This window comes from Homo sapiens, chromosome 14 (assembly GCF_000001405.40).
Source record: "Homo sapiens chromosome 14, GRCh38.p14 Primary Assembly".
Classification (NCBI taxonomy): Eukaryota; Metazoa; Chordata; class Mammalia; order Primates; family Hominidae; genus Homo; species Homo sapiens.
Genome location: NC_000014.9, coordinates 56,835,239 through 56,858,332, shown reverse-complemented (window position 1 = coordinate 56,858,332; position 23,094 = coordinate 56,835,239). Strand labels below are relative to the sequence as shown.

At 41.1% G+C, this 23,094-nt stretch overlaps 1 long non-coding RNA gene across 2 annotated transcripts in view, besides 2 other annotated features; it reads right to left on the bottom strand.

The window, feature by feature from the left end:
- The window catches only part of OTX2-AS1 (OTX2 antisense RNA 1), a 119,303-nt gene that overhangs the window by 72,976 nt on the left and 23,233 nt on the right, over positions 1 to 23,094 (bottom strand). The window lies entirely within an intron of this gene.
- Positions 732 to 4,387: an enhancer, noted in NCBI's record as "VISTA enhancer hs1579". NCBI's record gives its function as "enhancer in: forebrain[4/6]" and the evidence as "EXISTENCE:transgenic organism evidence [ECO:0001131][PMID:17130149]".
- Positions 10,377 to 11,342: an enhancer, noted in NCBI's record as "OCT4-NANOG-H3K27ac-H3K4me1 hESC enhancer chr14:57313709-57314674 (GRCh37/hg19 assembly coordinates)". NCBI's record gives its function as "activates a minimal SCP1, AML or CMV promoter by ChIP-STARR-seq in naive and primed H9 embryonic stem cells {active_cell/tissue: H9 hESC(naive and primed)}" and the evidence as "EXISTENCE:reporter gene assay evidence [ECO:0000049][PMID:30033119]".

Below are 23,094 nucleotides of genomic sequence, written 5' to 3'. Positions count from 1 at the left end.
ACCATACAACATGGAAGAATTTAACACAATGATACTATTTTTGAGAACTAATAACATTAAGAAGCAGATATTTACAAACATTGCAGACATGTGCTAAATAAGCCTGACTTTCGGAAATATCACTGGTGTAACTGTTGAGCAGATTCTCTAAAACTCTTTTCTTTTTTATTTTCTTTTTCCTTTTCCTTCTCCCCTTCTCCCCCTCCTCCTCCTTCTTTCTCTCTCTTTCTTTTAAATTATGTATGATGTTGATTATTAGCATCTCAGTCCCCCAGTTCTTCTACCTTCAAGCCTTTCCCCTCAACTGTTGTTCAACATCATGAGCTGATGTGAAGCATATATCAAGAAAGAGTTGGTCTCCTACAGTCAAATGGTCCCCTGAAAGACAGCCTTTCAGGGATGTAAGTGGCAAACAAACCTAGAGTATAAAGCATCACATTTATATTTGGAAGCCGTATGTTGGAGAAAAAAGACATTAGAGTCAGAAGGCTGGAATTTCAATCATTTTGCCACTCTGGGAATGATAGAAAGTCAATTAACCACTCTGTGCCCCAATTTTCTCATCTGTAAAATGGAAATGTCTCCTACGTTGCCTACCCCACAGGTAGGAAAGGATCCATTGAATTGATCATGTGAAAGTACTCTGCAAAATATTATGTATTTCCAAGTTAAAGATATTATTATATTAAAAGGGAAACTCTATGTCTGCTTTAGTAAACTAGACAAGGGAAGGGCAAACAACGGTCATATCTTGGGAGCAATGGGTATAGTGACCATATTTTCAAAACCCAAATCAGAACATATCTTTTGGCATATGATCTGACACATGGTTTGACCACATGACAGAATATTTGAAATAAAAAATGTCCTGAAAAATCCAGGACATGTGGTTGCCATGGCAATGAAGAGCCATGGGGAGGCTGTGGGCAACGAAAAGACAGGGTCGAATTGGCAAGCATAGAAAACTATTTTGCCAGCGATGTGCAGGACAGTTTGCAGTCAATCGATGTGGAAGACAGAAAAGGCAAGAAGAAGGAAATTTTACTAATCTGAGTGTGAGGTATAGTCATCCTGAATCACGTTCACTTTGGAAAATTCTTCCCACCCTCTCCAGAAAATCCAAGCTAGTCTCTGGTTCGCATGAACATGGAACTAGAAGAGCGGTTTTGGATAGAAATTTTGTTGGAGTGAACCTAGTCCCGTGGTAGACCTGTATCTACCCTCAATATCCCAAAGGCAACTGTAAATTAAGAATAATCTCATGGCAGCCCAGTTCTCCAGGCCAAGGGAGACTCCCTTGAAATACCCTAGTGTAAACCCAAATCTGCCTCCCTCTGGATGGAAAGACCATGGAACTCTTCACTTCTCAAAATTCTGCTCTTCATGGACTGCCTTCTGCCTCCACCTTTCCCCACACAAAATTAAAGCAACTCTCTTCTCTGTGCAACTGTTCAGAAAATATTTTTGCTGTTTACAACTCCATCAGAGCTCCTGAAAACACAAACTTGGTGTCATATGAATTCTACTGCTGACTCTTTAAGTCAGAAAGTCAGATTTATTTTTTTTCTTATGGCCAGTCAAAATTAAGATGCAGATAATATTAACAAGAAGGTATAATGATTGGACTCAGAAGAAGTGGGTTTATAACAAGTTTAACTCTTTTAACAATTTACACAGATTCTTATTAAAATTAATAAATCACATATAAGGGGCAAGTGTTGTTTCATGGGGGCACATTTCCCCCCATTCAGCTCTCTTATTCCATTCCAGCCCTTTAAGACCCCAAGACCTCTAAATTCCATCCAGTGCCTATCACATGCTATTGAGTTGGCATGTTTGCAAATTGCATGCAGTGAGATCCTTCCATACCAATAGCCCTGTCTCAGATTCCCCAGCATCGCAGCCAAACTAGTATTGCCTGCACATTTTCCTCATCTTTTCATTGAGTTCAGTGTGGCAGCAGCACATTCCTTAGCACAGGCTCCAGTCGGCATGGTAACTAGTTAGGGACTGCAAGTTGCCTTCTGGCCGACTCCTATTGCTTTCTGAGGGTGCTTTCTCGGGGGCTGGGGGGAGGTGCAGGGAGGGGACGGCAGTGGAGGAAGTAGTGAAAAGAGGGAGGAGAAAGAATTGATTGGGTTGGGCTGGAGGGGGAAGGGCAGAAGAATGACTTAAACGGGCTTTTTTAAAAGAGTTATCTGGTCCACCCATGGTGTTGGTGCTAAATTGCCTGGGCTGAAAAAAGTCCTAATTGGGGTAGGGAGGCAGTGACAAAGCAAAGCTTGTTCAAGCCTCGGAATCTGCACTGTTGATAGTGCAGGTACCTCAAGGGCGGTTGGGAGTGATTGCTGTGTTGACTTTGTCTAATTGCAGGGGAGGAGTTATGTGAGCTGTGGCGGGCAGTGTTACACCCAGTGGGGTGGTGGACAAAAACTGGCATAACCATGCAGAGCTAAATAAACTGACTGACAAAGCTCTTGGCATATTATTAAAAATCTGGCAAAATGTTCATCTCTTGACAAAAATGTAGAGAGACTAGTAATGCATAACTTCATCCCACGTTGGATTTTAAAATGGCTAATGCCAAGTTGTCTGTCAAAATTAATAGGGTATTGCTGCTTCTTATAGAACAAAAAAGAATTCTCATCCATTTTATTCATTGCTAAAAAAACATGTGTCTGCTAAAAATTTCATTTAGAAAAAAAGGTTCAAAGGTAGTTTCCTTGATTTTAAAGTGTTGCGAATTAAAAGCTACTTTTTCTCAGGTTTGTTATTATCAAAACCACACCTTCATTAAAATGTAAAGCATTTTATTCTTTGAGAATAGATTAAAACTCTGTATTCAACCTTATATTAAGAGAGGCATTAAAACTCCAATTATGGATTATAGCTTTATATGAGTTTGGAGATTTTTTTAACTTCCTTTATATCAAGAATATGTTAAACGGTTAATTGACTGCTGAATAGATACTCTACATCATCATAGGAATTAATCAATGTATTGGCCTTTTGATTCTCTGACTTGCTATTTCATGTGTTAATTTAACGAGTTCTCCTTCCTTCTTTGCTGTCCATGAAGCCTTCATGCATGCTATTCTATACAAACTACTTTTTATTCTAAGTTCTACACACATAGGGTAACTTACTATTCTAGGATCTGAGTGTATTTTGTGTGCATTCAGGCCTTAAAAAGAAAGTGTAAATAATACTCTACCTTGTCATATGCATAAAGTTTATGTGGATAGCTATTTCCTTTCTTATTTTCCACACCTCAAAGCTTGTAATTAAATGGAAATGAAAAACAATTCTCTGAAAAATTTAAAAATCTTTTAAAATATATTTTAATCCCTACTTTGCCTAATGAAACAATATATTTTCTTATTCATAAGTTTAGAATTTTCATTAATTTTTTTTCAGAAATAATTCTGAAAGAGCATTTTCCTCAAAACCCCATGTTTTCTCTAATTCTGTTCTTTTAAGAACTTCAATAAAATAGGAAAGTCAGTGAGGCTGGTGGCAAGGTTTTGCTCTTAAACTCTAACAAATACTTTGGTTTGGTGATTTGCCTCTTCCTAAAGCACCTACCTACAATGGAGTCTATAAGTTCTTTTTGGAAACTGAGACACTAGAAGCATCAACACTGGTATACGTCCAGGTAAAAGGAAAATACTGATACACTCCCAGGTAAAAGGGAAATATACACATATTCCTTAAGTGCTGAAAGAACAAATATGTAAATAAGAGATGGGCTGCTTCCCTACTGTTCATGTTTGCTCACTGCGGAACATTTGGTTCACTTGGCTTGACTCATTATTTCAGCTGGGAAAGTCACTATATGAATTAATAGCAGATTTCCCAGCTGAAAATAAATGTTTACCAGTTTAAGGGGCTGGGATTTTTTGGCAAAGGTCTGGCTTTTTGTCTGACTGGCTCTTTTTTGGCATGCACATCCCTGAGGTGTGTAATTAAAGTAAGGGAATTTGCACATAGTGCTTTGGGGCTTTAATGAATAGAAAACACAGGATATTTCAGCAATTTTGGTGCCTAATGTCAGAGTGTGCATTTTCTGTGTGAGGTATCACAATAATAGGGCTCTGTGATAATAAAGGTGCCTGCAATACCATGCAAAGAAAAAGAAAAATGACAGCATTTGTTCCTAAATTCCGATACAAAATACATGAAAAAGAGCGATTTGCATTTAAAACAGACGGACTTTGAACTTGAACATACCCTCAGAAATAATGGCTATTAAATCAGCCCCACTTTGCTGAATATTGAAATTCCCTTCAGGACAAAGATCTTGGCTGTTGATATCAGGTCACATTACAAAATTGAATACACACTATCAAACGGTTCTAATCATAACCATTCCACCCTTGCTGTTGACATTTTTGAACAGCTCAAAACCTGAAAAGGTATTTTTAAACCTCAGGAATCTTGAGGGGAAAGGTAGAAAGAACAATGAACATTTATTGAGCACCTGTTATATGCCAGATAGTTTCACATGCCTATCAAATTTCATATTGTACAATAAAAACCAGGTAAAAAAGTATTTGCACTTATATTTTTGTTTAAAAAAAAATAAAGTTCAGGCCGGGCGTGGTGGCTCATGCCTGTAATCCCAGCACTTTGGGAGGCTGAGGTGGGGGGATCACCTGAGGTCGGGAGTTCAAGACCAACCTGACCAACATGGAAAAACCTCATCTCTACTACAAATACAAAATTAGTCAGGTGTGGTGGCATATGCCTCTAATCCCAGCTACTCGGGAGGCTGAGACACGAGAATCGCTTGAACCCGGGAGGCAGAGGTTGCAGTGAGCCAAGATCACGCCATTGCACTCCAGCCTGGGCAACGAGAGCCAAACTCCATCTCAAAAATAAATAAATAAATAAATAAATAAAGTTCAGAGAAATTAGGTAACCTGCCAAAGACCACATTGCTAGTAATCAGTGACATCAAGATGTGAAAGAGGACAATGCCAGCAAAAAGTAAACACTCAGTGTATACTGACTAGTGTTATTGTTGAACTCCAAAACCTATACTCTTTCCAACAAAGTTCACTTATCATCTTTATTTCTCTTCTATATAATTTATTCTAAAGAGGGATGAAAACCTTGTTCCCTCCTCATCCCTCAGTCTTTGATGGTTCTCATTAATAAAGTTTGTATCCAATTTGAAAAACAGAAACAAAAACTTCTTGCTCCATCCCATGCATAACAGTACAGGAAGCCAGAAGTTTGTGCTTCCTGGGTCATGGGAAGGGCATCTCAATCCTGAGAGCAAGCCACACTTTTAATACAGGACAAGGGAGGCCATGACAGGAAACGAGTCGCACACAGAAGCTTGGAAGAAGGGGATACTTTGATCCCAGCCAGAGGCCAGAATGTATCTCCTGTATTACCACAGAATATAGAAAACAGATTTCACCTTGCTAGGGCCCAATTTTATCAACTATAAACTGATAAAATTTACAGTTGGAAAGGATTGGTCCAAATGATGTAAAAGTCCCATTTCTGATTTAAAAGTCTAAACTACCAAATAACCCTTGGCTGATGACCAGAGGGTCATAAACATGAGAATTCCCACAGGATAAGCTTCAGGTAACTACCTATCTTGTGGTCACTGCACAAAGACATCTGCCAGCATTTCAGAGCCATATTCCTCAGTGAAGTGATTATCAAGTTTCTAGCACATATTTCCCACAGTGATATTTCTTGATATCATCCATAAACTAAGTTCTCAGGTAAAACATTGTCTTTTTGTTTTTAAGAGATGGGGTCTCACTCCGTCACCCAGGCTGGAGAGCACTGGGATGACCATAGCTCACTACAGCCTTGAACTCCTAAACTCAAGCAATCCTCCTGCCTCAGCCTCCTGAGTAGCTGGGAGTACACATGCACGGCACCATACCTGGCTATGTTTAAAAAATTTTTGTAGAGCCAGGCTCTCACTTTTTGTCCAGGCTGGTCTTGAACTCCAGGCTTCAAGTCATCCTCCTGCCTCAGCCTCCCAAAGTGTTGGGATTATGGGCGTGAGCCCCTGTGCCTGGCCAAACATTGTATTTAAAAGGCTTTTTCTCCAGACCTTTCCTTTTCTGACATTTCGTCTTATCTTGGCCTTTCTGTGGTCTTCCTCTTATTCTCTAAAAACCTTTGAAGAATCACTGACAGACTATAAACCTGAGGTTGGGGCACTATCCTAATTTTCTGGTAAAGAAGAAAAATATGAACAATTTGTGTATATGTTTGTTATTATTATCTCCATCAATATTTAAATAAATTTGAACACTAGGATTTGGACAGATTTGTTAGCACAAGGGCCAGAAATGCCATTTGGAGCACATATTTTTTTGACTCCACTGGAATTTAGAGCCCTACGAGGTGGATCCTACCGCCTGTCTCTGTCAGCACCCCTCACACATCCTCACTTTCCTCCTTCTTACCCTGCTTAAATTCCAAAAGTCATCATTATTTTTATTATTTATTTATTTATTTATTTATTTTTTTGAGACAGAATCTCGTTCTGTTGCCCAGGCTGGAGTGCAGGGGCGTGATCTTGGCTCACTGCAACCTCCGCCTCCTGGGTTCAAGTGATTCTCCTGCCTCAGCCTCCCAAGTAACTGCGACTACAGGCGTGCGCCAAAACTTTCAGCTAATTTTTGTATTTTTAGTAGAGAGAGGGTTTTACCATGTTGGCCAGGCTGGTCTTGAACTCCTGACCTCATAATCCACCCACCTCAGCCTCCCAAAACACTGGAATTACAGGTGTGAGCCGTCGTGCCCAGCCTTTCTTTTCCAAGCTCCCTCAACTCCCTTGCTCCTCTCTCACTGTACTGTACTGGCAAATTCTCACCCCAATTCAATCCGACTTCCTGCCCATTCTGTGTCTGCATCCCTGCCACTAAATGTGCTGGAGAAAAACACACAACCATGCTTGTTGGTCTCAGGCTAAATCATGGTCATTATAACCTCCTGTGAGCCATGAATGCTGCCCAGCTGTCATCCATTGTCCTCGTCCATTCCCTCTTCCACCCTTCTCAACAACTCTTTCATCACTTCTCTCCTCAGTCCTTCACAACCTGCCCACCCATCATCATTCACTGGCTTCCTGTTTCACCAAGAAAATAGAAGCGCCCAGGACAATCTTCTTCATGTCCCACCATTACATCTCCCTAGCTACTAGCATCAGAGCCTGTATACCCCACCATTCCTTCTGTGACTTTGGATGGATTATTGAGGCCAATCAAGACCAGTCTCCGACTCACATACTAGATCCCTCCCCTCTCTCCTGCATCATGAATTTCCCTCATTTTGCTGGACTGTTGCAATAACATATAAACAGGCTCTTGTTTCTTTCATTAAAAATAAAATAAGCCGGATGCGGTGGCTCACACCTGTAATCCCAACACTTTGGGAACCCAAGGCAGGTGGATCACCTGAGGTCAGGAGTTTCAGACCACCCTGGCCAACATGGTGAAACCCCATCTCTAACAAAAATACAAAAAATTAGCCGGGCATGTTGGCACCCACCTGTAGTTCCAGCTACTTGGGAGGCTGAGGCAGGAGAATCACTTGAACCTGGGAGGCGGAGGTTGCAGTGAGCCAAGATTGCACCACTGCACTCCAGTCTGAGCTACAAGAGTGAAACTCTGTCTCAAAAAATAAAAATAAAAATAAAACAGCCTGGGCACAGTGGCTCATGCTTATCATCCCAGCATTTTGGGAGGCTGAGGTGGGAGGATCCCTTGAGGCCAGGAGTTCAACACCAGCCTAGGCAAAAAAGCAAGACTCAGTCTCCAGAAAAAAAAAAAATTTTTTTAAAGACTAGCCGGGCGTAGTGGTGTGCATCTCTAGTTCCAGCTACTCCAGAGGCAGAGGCAGGAGGATCGCTTGAGCCTTTGAGTTCAAGGCTGCAGCAGTGAGGCAGAATCATGCTACTGCACTCCAGTTGGGGGTGACAGAGAAAGACCTGTCTCAAAAAAAAAAAAACTTTTTAAATTAAAATAAAATAAAAACAAAAATCTTTTGATGCCATATCTCCCTCCAACTACTGCTCCATTTCTCTGAACCTCTTGACAGCAAAACTTCTCCATGAAATTGTTTATATTCACTGGTAATTTTTCTCCTCTTACTCTCTCTTGAACCCAATTCAATCAGTTCCCCACTACTTCTTCCCTCTCCACAGCAAATATTCCATCAAAATGTCCTGTGTTCAGTTTACTAAGGACATTGACAAATCCATTGGCCAGTTCTCAGTCCTCATCTTATTTGTACTTAAGCATCTCATGTATCTAAGCGCTCTCCTCCTCTCTCTGCCCCCCAAACACTTTTTCACTTGCCTTCCAGGATGCTGTGCTCTCCTGAGTTTTCTCTGGTGTCTTAGGCTATATTTCTTCATCTCCCTGACTCTGAGTTGGAGTGATCCAGAACTTAGGGCTCAGACCTCTTCTCCCTAACAACATTTGATTCCTAGACGATGTTGTCAGTCCCACAGCTTTAAATACCATCTCTACAGTGTTATCCAGATTTCCTTCTCCAGTCTGTATGGCTCTTACCCTAAGCTTCTATTGTGAAACCAAAATCTAGGTTCTCTCTGGCTCCCCAGTTATGTTACATGAATTTCTCTCTTCTTTCCCTGTCTAATACCACAATTCTTTGAGGTCTGAGATCCTATATTGTTCTTATTGGTTTCCATTTAAGTGCTCTGTATCTGAAAACTGCTGACAGACTTTCCTAGTACTGCCTACCTGCCTAGGTTTCTGAAAACCTTGTAGGGAGGAGGAGGAGGAAGAAAAAAGAAGAGGAGAAAGAGGAGGAGAATGAAGAGAAAGAGGAAGAACAAGAAGACAAGGATGACTTGTGGTTATTGTGCACAGCCCAGAGAAATTGAGTGGTGTGGGTTGTCAGTTGCCACTCTTGGGGAAAAGGCAGCAGAGCAGGCTCCCTCCTGAGCAGCCACAGGCAAAGTTATTGCTGTGTTGAATTTACTGTGGTCTAGAAAAGGCCCAATTCTTAATATAGCAAACCAGAAACTTCATATTTTTAGAAAGTAAATCAATCGTCCTAGGGCAGACTGCCTAATCTTTCTCCTAAGTCTAATGTACCAAATCAGAGTACCATTTTGTTAATTTACATTGAGAAATAAATGTTACAAGACCTGGAAGCTCAAAAGCCACATGATTGGCTGGGCGCAGTGGCTAACACCTGTAATCCCAGTAATTTGGGAGGCCAAGGCAGACAGATCACCTGAGGTCAGGAGTTTGACACCAGCCTGGCCAACCTGGCAAAACCCCGTCTCTACTAAAAACACAAACATTAGCTGGGCATGGTGGTGTGTGCCTGTAGTCCCAGCTACTTTGGAGGCTGAGGCATGAGAATAGCTTGAACCCGGGAGGTGGAGGTTGCAGTGAGCCAAGATTGCACCACTGCACTCCAGCCTGGGTGACAGAGTAAGACTCTGTCTCAAACAAACAAACAAACAAACAAACAACAAAACACACACACACACACACACACACACACACACACACACACACACGAGCTACATCTTCTCTCCCTGCAGTCAAGAATTGACTTGCTGAGCAAAATTCTTGAAGTGTATATGATCTGTGCATCCTGTCTTTCTCAGCAGACTTACACAGGAAGAAAAATCACAGTCGGGCTTTAGAGACATGGTAGCTAAGTGACTCTTTCTCCACATTGCAGCCAGAGTGATAATTTTTGGAGCACACATCCTAGCAGGCCACTCCTTTAAAACTGTATATTCTTCCTTTTTGTTTTTTTCCTCTTCTTCTTTCTTTTGAGACAGAGTCTTGCTCTGTCACCCAGGCTGGAGTGCAGTGGCGCGATCTCTGCTCACTGCAACCTCTGCCTCCCGGGTTCAGGCGATTCTCCTGCCTCAGCTTCCCAAGTAGCTGGGATTACAGGCGCCTGCCACCACGCCCAGCTAATTCTTGTATTTTTAGTAGAGACAGAGTTTCACCCTGTTGGCCAGGCTGATTTCAAACTCCTGACGTCAAGTGATCCACCCGCCTTGGCCTCCCAAAGTGCTGGGATTACAGGCGTGAGCCACTGTGCCTGGCCTAAAACTGTATATTGTTCTTAAAAGAAGACAAAATCCTCAACCTACTAGTCCTACAATGGTCTGGCCACTTCAGCCCCTGTCTTCAGTATAAGAACTGGATAGCAGTGTGGGCTCTGGGACCACACCTCAATGGTTCAAATCCTTGTTCCTCTCATTCCCAGCTCAGGTGATTTCTTTACTTATATTGTGCAATAGTTTCTTCCTTAATAAAATAGGAATAAAGATAGTGCTTATCTCATAGGATTATAATGAAAATTAAAAGAGTAAACTTCTTTCAACCATGTCTGGCAACTACCAAAAACTCAATAAATATTATCTGTTATTCTTGAAAACCACTGTGGGTCCAGTCACGCCTGCCTTCTTTCCATCCCCCAGATAGGCTGCAAACCAAGATCTTTCCAGCCTGGTTGCCTGAGCAGATGCTGCTCTGTTCAAGTTACTGTCCTTATACCCACCTCTTTGCACCGTTTCACTCCCACACGCCCTTGTCTCTCAGATCTAGTATTACTTCCTCAGGCAAATCTCCTCCTGAGACCCGCAAGTTCTCAGTCTCAAGTTTCCTTCATTATGTTGGTGTGTTCTCCTTCCAGTTTGTGCCTGGCTCAGGTCAGTCTTCAACCTCTAGAGGTCATCTCCAGGCTTGGCACTTTTTCCCAGAGTCTGATATATGCCTGACTCATTGTAGGCACTCCATACCGATTTGTTGGGTAAATGTTTAGTGGATGCTTAACCCAGTCTGAAACACTTTGGCCAGATCTGGCCTTCCAGGGACAAGCCTGGACCAGCTCCACTGCCTTTGATTTACGGGCTCTTTTTTTTCCCCCTACCTCCCAGGGTTCACCAACCCCCTTCTGATTAACACATTCTTTCTTTGCATGTGTTAACGAATTTGATGAGGTTTCTTAGGGCCCTAAGAAAACTTTGCATATCTATGCTCTGTTTTAGTTCACGTTGTTTTTAAAGTTTTGCTCTCGGTAGGTGTCTTATTTCCCTTATTTCCAAGTTCTGGCAGGGGCGGGTGGATGAGGGTTGTCTCATTGTGTCTCTCTATTATTGACAACACACCTGGACCAGGATTCTATCTGGCAGTGGAGACTCCCTGGTGTTTTGTATTTAAGTGAGTGTCTGCTCACCTTGCCAAGGGAACACTCCACCTTCTACACTGAACTTCTAAAGGCTGATCTAGGTCTGTCCCTAGCCCCCTCAACTCCATCCCCAGTCTCTACCAATCTGTTCCCTCTCGTCTCCTAAGATAGGGCCCAGCAGATACTCTCTCCAGAGAATACACTAGGTTGCTATATAACTCCATTTAATGGAGGTAGGTGGTCAGGTGTGTTTTTCAATAACCCAAAATACAGCACTGCTCTGGGGATGAGTTATTGTCTTAAATGGAAACATTAAAACTAGCCTAAGGGCAAGAGTAATCAATAGAGAAAGTCATCGTTACCCCTCCATATTTGTACTGTACGATGAGACATATGCAAATCCTCCCGTCAGTACCAGGCAAAAGTGACTATAGTTACAAAGATTCCATCCTGCTGTCATAAACTCTCTGTCAAAAAGACCCAATGCTATGTTAACAAAAATATTTGATCTACAACATACATCCTGAGACCCTGGATGTCTGAAAAGCATTGCTCTGGGTTTTCATGCTGTTTCCACAATGCTAAGATCTAGTGTAGGCCAGAGATGTGTGTGGAAACGGCACAAGAAAAGGGCTTGTCCAATCCAATGCAGAATTTAGCAGAAGGTAAGAAAGAACACAAAACTCAGGTTAAAGAAAGCCTCTCCCTGGGGTATTTCTCGTCCTTTATTTTTACCCCAGATCCAAGACTTGTGGTTAATTCAGATAAGCACTTGACCTTTGTGGGTGCTTATCCAAAGTCAACCTTCCCGTGTCTGAGGGTCACCTGTAACTCATTAATCTCAGTCCATTATTGTTTTGCAGGGATGTCTGTTCCATTTAAGATATAAAACTCCTATACAGATAACATGGTAGGTTAATGCACTCACCTTTCATTCCTTGATTGCTGGGTTCAAACCAAACTCAATTCTGTTATGAGTGAGGATTATGTTTTGATATGTTCCCTGTCCCCAGGAGCCATTTGTCTACAGGTCTTCAAACCCTAAAAGGATGTTGCAGGCATCAGCATACTCTTCAGGGCCCTATACAGGAGATTCCCGGGAATAGAATGGCCCAGAGGTTACTTGGTCAGGACTGGAGAGGAAAGAACTATTTAGGGAATCTTGCTGAGTGCATGCTTCTGAGGGTGCTATCAGTCTTTTGCCACTCTCAACTCTTAAGATGAAAACAAGGCCATTATCACTTTTCAAAAAATAATAAATTGCTTTATATAGAATCTAGTACTGTTGTACTGTATGTACTTCTCTACAGCAAGAAATGTGTTAGCAGCCAGTTGGGGGAAAAAAAGGCACAAACTCTTTGCAGTTTTTCGAACATCATACTTTTCTAGCATTTTCTTCTTTATGATTTAACTTTATTTCCTCTTCAACTAAGACATACAAATCTATACCCTCATCTGGCACAAAAATCAAGGATGTAAATCTAGAGGGAAATAACAATCAGGCATTCGACTATCTCTGAGGCATCACTGCCCTGCACAGTGGATGGCTTCCTTCTCTGGAGTCAGACTGCCAACGATAGAATTCTGGGCCTGCTGCTGAAAACCTTAACCTCTTCCAGCCTCAGTTTCATTAGCTGAAAGATGGAAACAATAAGAGCACCTACCACAGAGAGTTATTGGAATCAAATAAGATAATGATATATAAAGCTCTTAGAACAGTGTCTGGGCCGGGAGCAGTGGATCAAGCCTGTAATCCTAGCACATTGAGAGGCCAAGGCAGGCAGATCACTTGAGTCCAGGAGTTTGAGACCAGCCTGGGCAACATAGAGAAACCCTGTCTCTACAAAAAATACAAAAAAATTTAGTTGAGCATGGTGGCATGCACCTATAATCCCAGCTACTTGGGAGGCTGAGGCAGAGGATCACCTGAGCCCAGGAGGTCGAGGCTACAGTAAGCCGAGATCGCACCACTGCACTCCAGCATGGGTGAGTGACAAAGTGAGACTCTATCTAAAAACAAACAAACAAACAAACAAACAACAACAACAACAACAAAAACCAGTGTCTGGCATATAAAAGGGGTTCAATAAGTGTTAGCTGTTATTGGTACTTAATTGCTTTGACTCATGCTATAGAAACCAAAGGGGCTTTTTCTTTAAATCCGTGGCTTTTCCAACCACCTGAAACAAATGACCGAACTCCAAACAAATACTTCTGGTTCTTTCTACGTTGCATGGCCCCGTCACTCTTCCCTCCTGCTCCATGCCCCTTGAATCCCAACCAGTTAAAGTACAAGGGAGTGGCCGGGGAGTGAGGACGGTGCAGTCCAAACCGCCTCACTTAATTAATTTCAGCCAACTCCTCCTGCTGGCCACGCTGCTGCCGCCTCAATTACCCTTGGAGTTAACAACGGAAAGCGGCACACAAAGACTTTCACTTTATAGCAGGAAAAGGAAAAAGGTACTGTCGATACATATTACTTGTCAATGTAAATGCTTTCAGGAGCCCTTCACTGCTTCTTTTCATGTTCTTCGAGTCTAAGAACCATTTAGAGAAGTCCTGCTGTTCTAGCACCCTAAGGACATGTAAGAGGATGCGCGCAGGCAGCTGAGAAACGGAGCTTCTATTTATGTGGAGCAAGGCAGGCCTAGATCTTTGACTAACAATAAGCAGAATATCTTAATCACAAGCATTCTGAAGTCATGCCAGTGGAGTGCTTAGTGTTTGCCAGCTTGCTTTTCTTTCTTTTTAGAGAATACAACTTGGGAAAGATGCAAGCACATGCAGGTAGGCTCTTATTTGAGGATCCGCTGTTATTTTCCCATTGGGAACATTGGGAGCGAGCTACCTAAATATCAGTCCCAATCCCCCCACCAGGAGGGGTCTAGAATTTCTAAAACGAATAGGTGCAATCTGGGAGAAAAGGGAGACAGAGAACTTCTCTTGAAATTATGTTTGCACGACTGGGCGCTGTCACTCACGCCTATAATCCCAGCGCTTTGGGAGGCAGAGGCGGGCGGATAACTTGAAGTTAGGCGTTCGAGATCAGCCTGGCCAGCATGGCGAAATCCTGTCTTTACTAAAAATGCAAAAATTGCCCTGGTGTGGTGGCGCACACCTGCGGTCCCAGCTACTTGGGTGGCTGAGGCAGGAGAATCGCTTGAACCCAGGAGGCGGAGGTTGCAGTGAGCCGAGATGGTGCCACCGCACTCCAGCCTGGGCAACAGAGGAAGACTCTGTCTCAAAAAAAAAACAACATATATATATGTTTACACAGAAAACAGTCTGTTGTTTGGAGTCCATGTTTACTGGGGGTGAAATTGTAGGGCTAATGGAGAGTTTGAAGGGCTGGAGACCACTCCCAACCCCTGCCCCTCACCACCTCAAAGCACCCCTCACTTTGTAGTCTAACACCAGGACTCCCATCTTTCATTCCCCATGCTTTTAGGAGCCTTTACTACACAATCAAGGTAATGTCTTCAACAAAGATGATGTGTTAGAGTAAACGTTGTTTGTGGTGTGGGAAACGGGGACATTTATTTGCCTTGAAAAATGCCTGGCACAATAGGTGCTCAAAGATATTTGCTGAATAAATTTCTGATTTTATGGAAGCTTTTACCTTTTCCAAGGTAAAAGCCTTGGAAAAGAGGCTGCCACCAGAATAACTCCTTCTGATTTTTAGGATTTAAGGTAATCATTAAACATATTTTGAATAACTTCTTTCCCCCGATTGAAGCAATTAAAATGATCTCTGTATAGAGTATAGAAATTGTTTAGTAATATGCGACGCTTGGCAGAGATCACCTACTGTCTTCCGATTTTTAACAATATCTATTCTATCCATCTCTTTAAGGATAGACGCCCCCATGGCCGGGCGCAGTGGCTCACGCCTGTAATCCCAGCACTTTGGGAGGCCGAGGCGGGCGGATCACGAGGTCAGGAGATCGAGACAATCCTGGCTAACACGGTGAAACCCCGTCTCTACTAAAAATACAAAAAATTAGCCGGGTGTGGTGGCGGGCGCCTGTAGTCCCAGCTGAGGGAGGCTGAGGCAGGAGAATGGCGTGAACCCGGGAGGCGGAGCTTGCAGTGAGCCGAGATTGTGCCACTGCACTCCAGCCTGGGCGACAGAGCGAGACTCCGTCTAAAAAAAAAAAAAAGAAAGAAAAGGATAGACGCCCCCATTTTAGTTGGGTACATGGCTTCCCAGATGAAGATTATATTTCCAAACCCCTACCTCCTCTGCAGCTAGATGTAGGTACATCGCTAACTTCTGACCAACGAAATATGAACAGAAGTAATATATACAACTTCCAAGCTGGCACTTGAAGGAAAGGAGTGTGGCCTTTGCTGCTTCTTTCTCCTCTTACCGCTGGTTGGGATGCAAATGTGATGGTAGGTGCCGGAGCAGCCATCATGACTTTGAGTTCAGAGTTGTGGGTTGAGGATGATGGAGCAAAAGACAGAAGCAGCTTGCACCTCTGACACCCCCAAGCCTACCTGCAAGCCTCAGACTACTTATACTCAAACTGTTACTTGAGAGATAAATAAATTTCTATCCTGTTCAAACCATTGTATTTTAGAATGCCTCTGTTACTGTAGCCTAACCTGTATTTTAACAATACAGACATCATTAGAAAGGAAAGTTTAAAAAAAAAAAAAGAAACTTGCTACATTAGAAAGGAAAGTAAAAAAAAAAAAAAAAAAAAACTTGCTACATTAGGAAAGAAAGTTTAAAAAGAACTCCATTCATTTGAAACAAAAACAAGTAGAACAGAATAAATTATTGAGATATTAATCTGTTCTCATATTTTCCTTCTCTTAGTTCAACTACTACTTTCAGAATAGGTTCATATTATTATTGACTCATGAAAGATAGGTTGGTCCTGATTTCCAGTGCTGTCGTAGTGGACAATGACACTAACAGTAAGTGACAAGTCCAGCCCACTTTCTCTTTTTTCATGGCCTATGAGCCAAGAATAGTTTTTATATTTTGTAATGGTAGGAAAAAAACAAAAGAATATTTCACAGCATATGAAAATTATATAAAATTCAAATTGCAGTGTCCACAGATGAAGTTTTATTGGAACACAACCACATTCATTCATTTAAATATTATTCACAGCTGCTTTCATGCAGTTGAGTAACTACAGCAGAGACTGTATGGCCCAGAAAGCCTAAAATGTTTACCATATGACCTTTTACAGAAGAAGTTTGCCAATCCAGTCCTGGAGTGTCTTTCCTGTTGTTTTTAATGAAAGGTAGATATATATTGTCAGAATTGGTTCCCTTCACTTTGAAGTTTCAAGCTATAGGATCGTATTCATGCATTTAAGAATTTTTTTCAAATAGCTTGATTGTAATCATGAAGAATATTTGATTAACTGATAAAGAACTTGGAATGCAACAGTGGCTGAATTGCATTGCTAGTTGTTTTGTTTGTTTGTTTGTTGTTGTTGTCTCACTCTGTTGCCCAGGCTGGAGTGCAGTGATGTGATCTCGGCTCACTGCAATCTCCCACTCCCAGGTTCAAGCGATTGTCATGCCTCAGCCTCCCAAGTAGCTAGGATGACAGGCAGGTGCCACCACACTCGGCTAATTTTTTGTATTTTTTAGTAGAGTTGGGGTTTCGCTATGTTGGCCAGGCTGGTCTGGAACTCCTGTCCTCAAGTGATCGGCACACTTTGGCCTCCCAAAGTGTTGGGATTACAGGTATAAGCCACCATGCCCGGCCACATTGTTAGTGTTTCTCAGTCACGATATTTCCTGGAATTTTAATGATAGAGTCTTCGGTCCCACATTCAGCTTCACTTCATATGGTATTGGTTGACAGCAAGCCCTGTTGCTATATGTTGCCTTTATAATGTTTCTTGTGCCTCTCTTTTCAACTGTATTCCTACAGTCATGATACTCATTCAGCTCCTTAGTAATTCAAGGCCAAACTTTTGCAATATGTCTGAAATGGTTTTCTTGCATCTAATCTCTTCTCCTCCCTTCCATCCCTTGTCACCAAAGATATCTTCCCTTTAAAAAACTACATAACTACTTCCAATATCTAATTACATAGCTACATCTCCCATCTCAAAAATATCAGCCCATCAGTTGCTTACAGAATAAAATCCAAACTCTTTAGGCTAGTATTCATGATTCTTCATGGCTTGTTCTTACTCTATACTCTATCCTAACTGAACCATTTTCTCTTCCCTGTATACCTCTGTAGGACAGACTTTGTTCTCTGGTCCATCATCTGTACCTCTGTTTATACCATGATCTCTTGTCTTCAAACCTAACCCTTCCTCTTCATCCCTACATATTCAAATGCTGTGTATTTTTAAGACCTAATTCCAATATTAACTCTTTCATGATGGTTTCTCTGACTCCTCTATCCCAAGCCCAATAAGTATTGTGGACACCAATGGCTTTTTTCTTGCCTGACATTATTCATTCACCATTCTTTCAGAATGATTTGGATTCTTCTAGGATGCATTGGTTTTGCTTTGAGAATACAATCAATCTTGGGGATGCATGCAGTCTTGATAGAATTATAACTCAAAATGTCCCAGGCTTTCTGGTGAGGGGATGGAGATATGAGATTCGCTAGGCCAATCAGAATTGTACTTGTGCACTTGCTAGGACTCTCTCTCTCTCTCTGTCTCTCACTGCAATTTGACTCTTGACTCGTTTTGTGAGCATAGAAAGTGGCTGGAGCTCACTGATGCCCCGAAGAGGCCAGCAATGACTCCTACCTGTGGATCCCTGTAGCTGCCCTACTCTAGTTCTTGCAAGTGTTGGGTTCTTTGACCTACAGTTTAATTTCACGAAGAACTCCTTACCCGTCCATTGAAGTTCTTTGTAAAATTAGCCACTACGAGTTTCTATTGTTTGCAACCAAAGATGCTGACTGATAGAAGGGATGATCATTCCTTTTCCCAAACCCTCATAATACTTTACCTAAACATTTCTTAGGGCCCTTAACATTTCCAACCTTGTATAATAGTTATTCATGTCATTATTTTCTTTGTCTTACACAATGGCAGTTCCAGAATTCTATCCAGAAAGAGCAATCAGAGTGGAAGGAGAAAAGTATAAGGGAATTATCATTACTCCTTATTAAAATAAGGGTTTTCTTTTTATTTAGACTGTGTGTTTAAAATCATGAGAGAATAAAGTCTTGTAAAGATGCCTTTATTCTTGTTTTTTTTTTCTTGTTTTTTTTTTGGCAGAGTCTTGCTCTGTCACCCAGGCTGGAGTGCAGTGGTATGAATTCGACTCACTGCAACCTCCGTCTCCCAGGTTCAAGCGATTCTCCTGCCTCAACCTCCCGAGTAGGTGGGACTACAGGCGCACACCTCCATGCCTGGCTAATTTTTGTATTTTTAGTAGAGATGGGGTTTCACCATCTTGGCCAGGCTGATCTTGATCTCCTGACCTCCTGATCCACCCTCCTCAGCTTCCCAAAGAGCTGGGATTATAGGCGTGAACCACCGCGCCCGGCCTTATTCATATTTTAAGACTAATAAAAGCATCAGTTCTCCTTATTAGAGCACACTTATTTGAAGAAGAGATGGCATTGAGATTATAGTGGGGTGAAATTCTCCCTCCCCTTCCAAGGCTTCTTTTGGTATGGCCACTCAACTTAAAAGGCTGTGAGCCGTTTGTAACCAGGTGGTTACAGTACTTGCATGGACCTAATACAGTGTTTGAATCAAACAATCACTGGTCACTGTACCATCTTGTATTATTTTTTTGCCACCTTTCCAATGAGATTTCAAGGTGTATATTTTTCCCATTTGGAAATTATTTGGCTTACAAATCTATTTTAATAAATTATCATTAAACGCCCACCACTATAATGGGCACCCTTCTAAGTGCTGGGAATACAGTCAAGAACAGGCAAGATTACTGTCACCACAGAGCTTGCATTCTAGTGGAATGTATGTCTACTTAAGAGATGAAAATCACTATATAATAATTCACATCCTCATTTATTATAAGTATAGGACCAAAACTATTCATCTTTCTCCCATGTTACTTCGTGTTTCTGCCTCTTCTTTACTTCTGTTTCCCGCTGTAATTCAGTTTAATTCTCAACTTTACCATGAACCCAGGGCTTTCTCTTGTTATTTTTATTGGTTTTTTCACTTTTCCCACTATTTTTTTCTGTATCTTCTGATATTTGAAATATTCTTAAAAAATAACAACACATTATTGTTTAATCTTTTGTACAAAGTTCCTAAAACTAAGAAATATTAGTCACATACAGCTAGTATCTATGAATCATAGAGCCATAGATTCTTAATAACATAAAATTAAGAGGAAGAGCTTCTTGCCAGGTGCAGTGGCTCACATCTGTAATCCTAACACTTTGGGAGGCTGAGGCGGGCGGATCACCTGAGGTCGGGAGTTTGAGATCAGCCTGACCAACATGGAGAAACCCCGTCTCTACTAAAAATACAAAATTAGCCGGGCGTGGTGGCGCGCCTATAATCCCAGCTACTCGGGAGGCTGAGGCAGGAGAATTGCTTGAACCCAGGAGGCAGAGGTTGCAGTGAGCTGAGATCGTACCATTGTACTCCAGCCTGGGCAACAAGAGTGTCTCAAAAAAAAAAAAAAAAAAGAAAAAAAAAGAAAAAGAAAAAGAAAAAAGGGCTCCCAATTAACTAGTGTTTTTTTGTTTCCCAACCAAGCAAAACGTACAGACATTATTTATATCCCATTTAAAACAAATTATTTTCCAGCTTTATTGAGGTATAACTGACAAATAAAAATTGTATATATTCAAGCTGTACAACCTGATGGTTTGATATTCATATTCATTGTAAAATGATTGCCACAATCAAATTAGTTGACACGTCCATCACCACACATAGTTACCATTGTGTGGTGGGGTGTGGGGTGAGAACACTTAAGATCTACTCTCTTAGAACATTTCAGGTATACAATACAGCATTAATTATAGTCATTACACTGTAAATTAGATACTTATTAATCTTATTACTCAAAGTTCATACCTTTTGACCAACATCTCCCCATTTTTTCCACTTCCCGTGCCCTGGCAAAATTTTAAAAATAAATTTTATTTCCAAGTAGCATGTTTAATGATAGCACTCAATAAGTCATCAAATCTAAAGAGATAAGAATTACTTCCCCAAAGAGGGGAAAAGTAGTAAGGAAATTTCACTAACAATCAAAGAAATAGAAATTAAAACAATTGGTATCATTTTTGCACATTTTAGGCATTGAAATGCGTTTCAAATGCCATTCAGACTAATGAGGTTGCGGCCTCACTGAACTTTGCACTCATTTCTGCCAATACTGTAAATACCTCACAAAAATCATGAAAATGTTTATTTCTTTTGATCTGATATTTTCACTTCTAGTATTTATTGTAAGCAACTACTTCAACCAACATAAATATATATGTGCACAAAAATAATCCCTTTACAGTTATGTTAAATCATATGTGTAGCCGGGCACAGTGGCTCACGCCTGTAATCCCAGCACTTTGGGAGGCCGAGTTGGGCAGATCACAAGGTCAGGAGATAGAGACCATCCTGCGAATGGTGAAACCCTGTCTCTACTAAAAATATAAAAAATTAGCCGGGTGTGGTAGCGGGCGCTTGTAGTCTCAGCTATTCGGGAGGTTGAGGTGGGAGAATGGCGTGAACCCAGGAGGCGGAGCTTGCAGTGAGCAGAGATAGTGCCACTGCACTCCAGCCTGGGCGACAGAGCGAGACTCCATCTCAAAAAAAAAGAAAAGAAAAGAAAAAATCATATGTATAAAAGCAAAAATATGTCAACATTTGGAATAAGCCTTAATAAATTTAATTGTAGCATTGCAATTATTAAGCCTATTCAGAAGCATAGAAAAATATTTATTAGTTAATAACAAGTTATTTTATGTTGCCACATTATTGTATCTTTAATTCTTTTTATAACAAATTGGGACATAAGTAACTACCTAAACAAGTAATAAACTATGAAGTCACAGTAGCAAAACAGGAAATAGCATGACTATCCTATTGTGTCGTCATAGAAACATACATGTTTTTGGAAAGCAGTATATACATACTCAATTCAACAAATGATAATGGAATACTATATATCACACACTCTGCTAGGCCGGGAGGGTGCTAGACTGTGGCAGAGGCTATTGGCTACTGACCAAAATCTATATACCCTTTTTCTTAGGCACAGAGCTAGAATACATTTGCAGTTAGGTGGACATGTGACTAAGTTCCAGCCACATGGAATGGGAACAGAAGTCTTGTGTGCCACTCCCAGGCCTGGCCCATAATGCCCTCCCATTCTCACTCCTCTGTACTCTTTCTCCCTTCCACCTGGCTGTGATGGAAATAACCATAGTGACTATAGAAGCCATAATTTGAAGACGGCAAAGTCTCTGTCAGCCTGGTACCCTAAATGAGTGTGTAAAGGAGAGCTGCTGGCGATTCTGTTTATATTCCCAGGACTCTAACACGAGCAAGAACTAAACTTCCATTGTCCTGAGCCATGACTTGTTTGGGTGTCTTTGTTCCTGCAGCCTTGCCTACCCTATCAGACATGGAATTACAGATGATTTATTTTAAATGTTTTTATTTAACATTATTGGCTGGGCACGGTGGCTCACGTCTGTAATTCCGGCACTTTGGGAGGCCGGTGGGGGCAGTGGTGGATCACGAGGTCAGGAGTTCAAGACCAGCCTGGCCAACCTGGCGAAACCCCGTCTCTACTAAAAACACAAAAATTAGCTGGGCATGGTGGTGTGTGCCTGTAGTCCCAGCTACTTTGGAGGCTGAGGCATGAGAATAGCTTGAACCTGGGAGGTGGAGGTTGCAGTGAGCCGAGATTGCGCCACTGCACTCCACCCTGGGCAACAGAGAAAGACTCTGTCTCAAAAATAAATAAATTAATTAATTAAATTAAATAATTATAGCCCATCAATTAAATTTAAAAATCCTAAATCACCATGTCTTTTTTTTTTCTTATTTGCTAAAATGCCTACAGCTTGCCCAATACAGTGAAAAAGTAGACCATCTTTGTTTCTTACTTACTGAAAGAGGTGATGGGAAATAACAAAATCCTAGTTAATTTTATTGTTTGTCAATTTGAAATTTGTTAGGGTTCAGAAGACATTTGAAAAATGTTTAAATAATTCCAAATTATACTCCTCAACTGAGATTTCATGTCTCATATTTCAGACCAAAGCAGATTTTTTTTTCGTTTCTTCATGAACTTCTAAAAAGAAAAAGAAAATCCACCAATTGGAATGCTACAGTGGTCTCAACTCTGTTCAAAATATGTACTATTGTGTTATTTCTATGTAGCATCCACAATAATTATTATTGGGGAAAAAAACTAAATGTATCAGTTTAATTTCATAATCTCTACTAAAAACTTGCTTAGAATATTACGTATACATTAGAAACTGAATGCTGGCAAAGACATCTGCACATTGAGATCTAAGTATATTTAGCAGAGGGAAAATCTTTGAAACAAGAAAAAAATTCACAAATTAGAACAAATACTCAGTACTGAAGGTATCATGCATAATTGTATTCCTAGCACACATGTTTAAAACATTTTTTTATCCATGTGTTTCAGAGTCCTTTCACCTTTTTTACATTTCAGTCTGTCTTACAGTGTATAGGTTAAGGTTTTCATCATAAATAATCTTTTGTTCAAGTGAAAAGAATTCATCCTATCTCAGGCACAAGATTCTGAAAACCCCCTCCATCACAAACTCCCTCTTCAGGTCAGCAGGGTGCTATCGGCACTAATAGTCATTTTCTATTTCTTTCTAAATATAAACACAAGGATTTGTTGCACAGAGCAACAAATTGTTGTGAGGTCACCCACAATTGGATTGCAGTAGGTTTTCCCAGATTTTAGAGACACCTGAAAGCCTTGGATGTCCTCACAGAG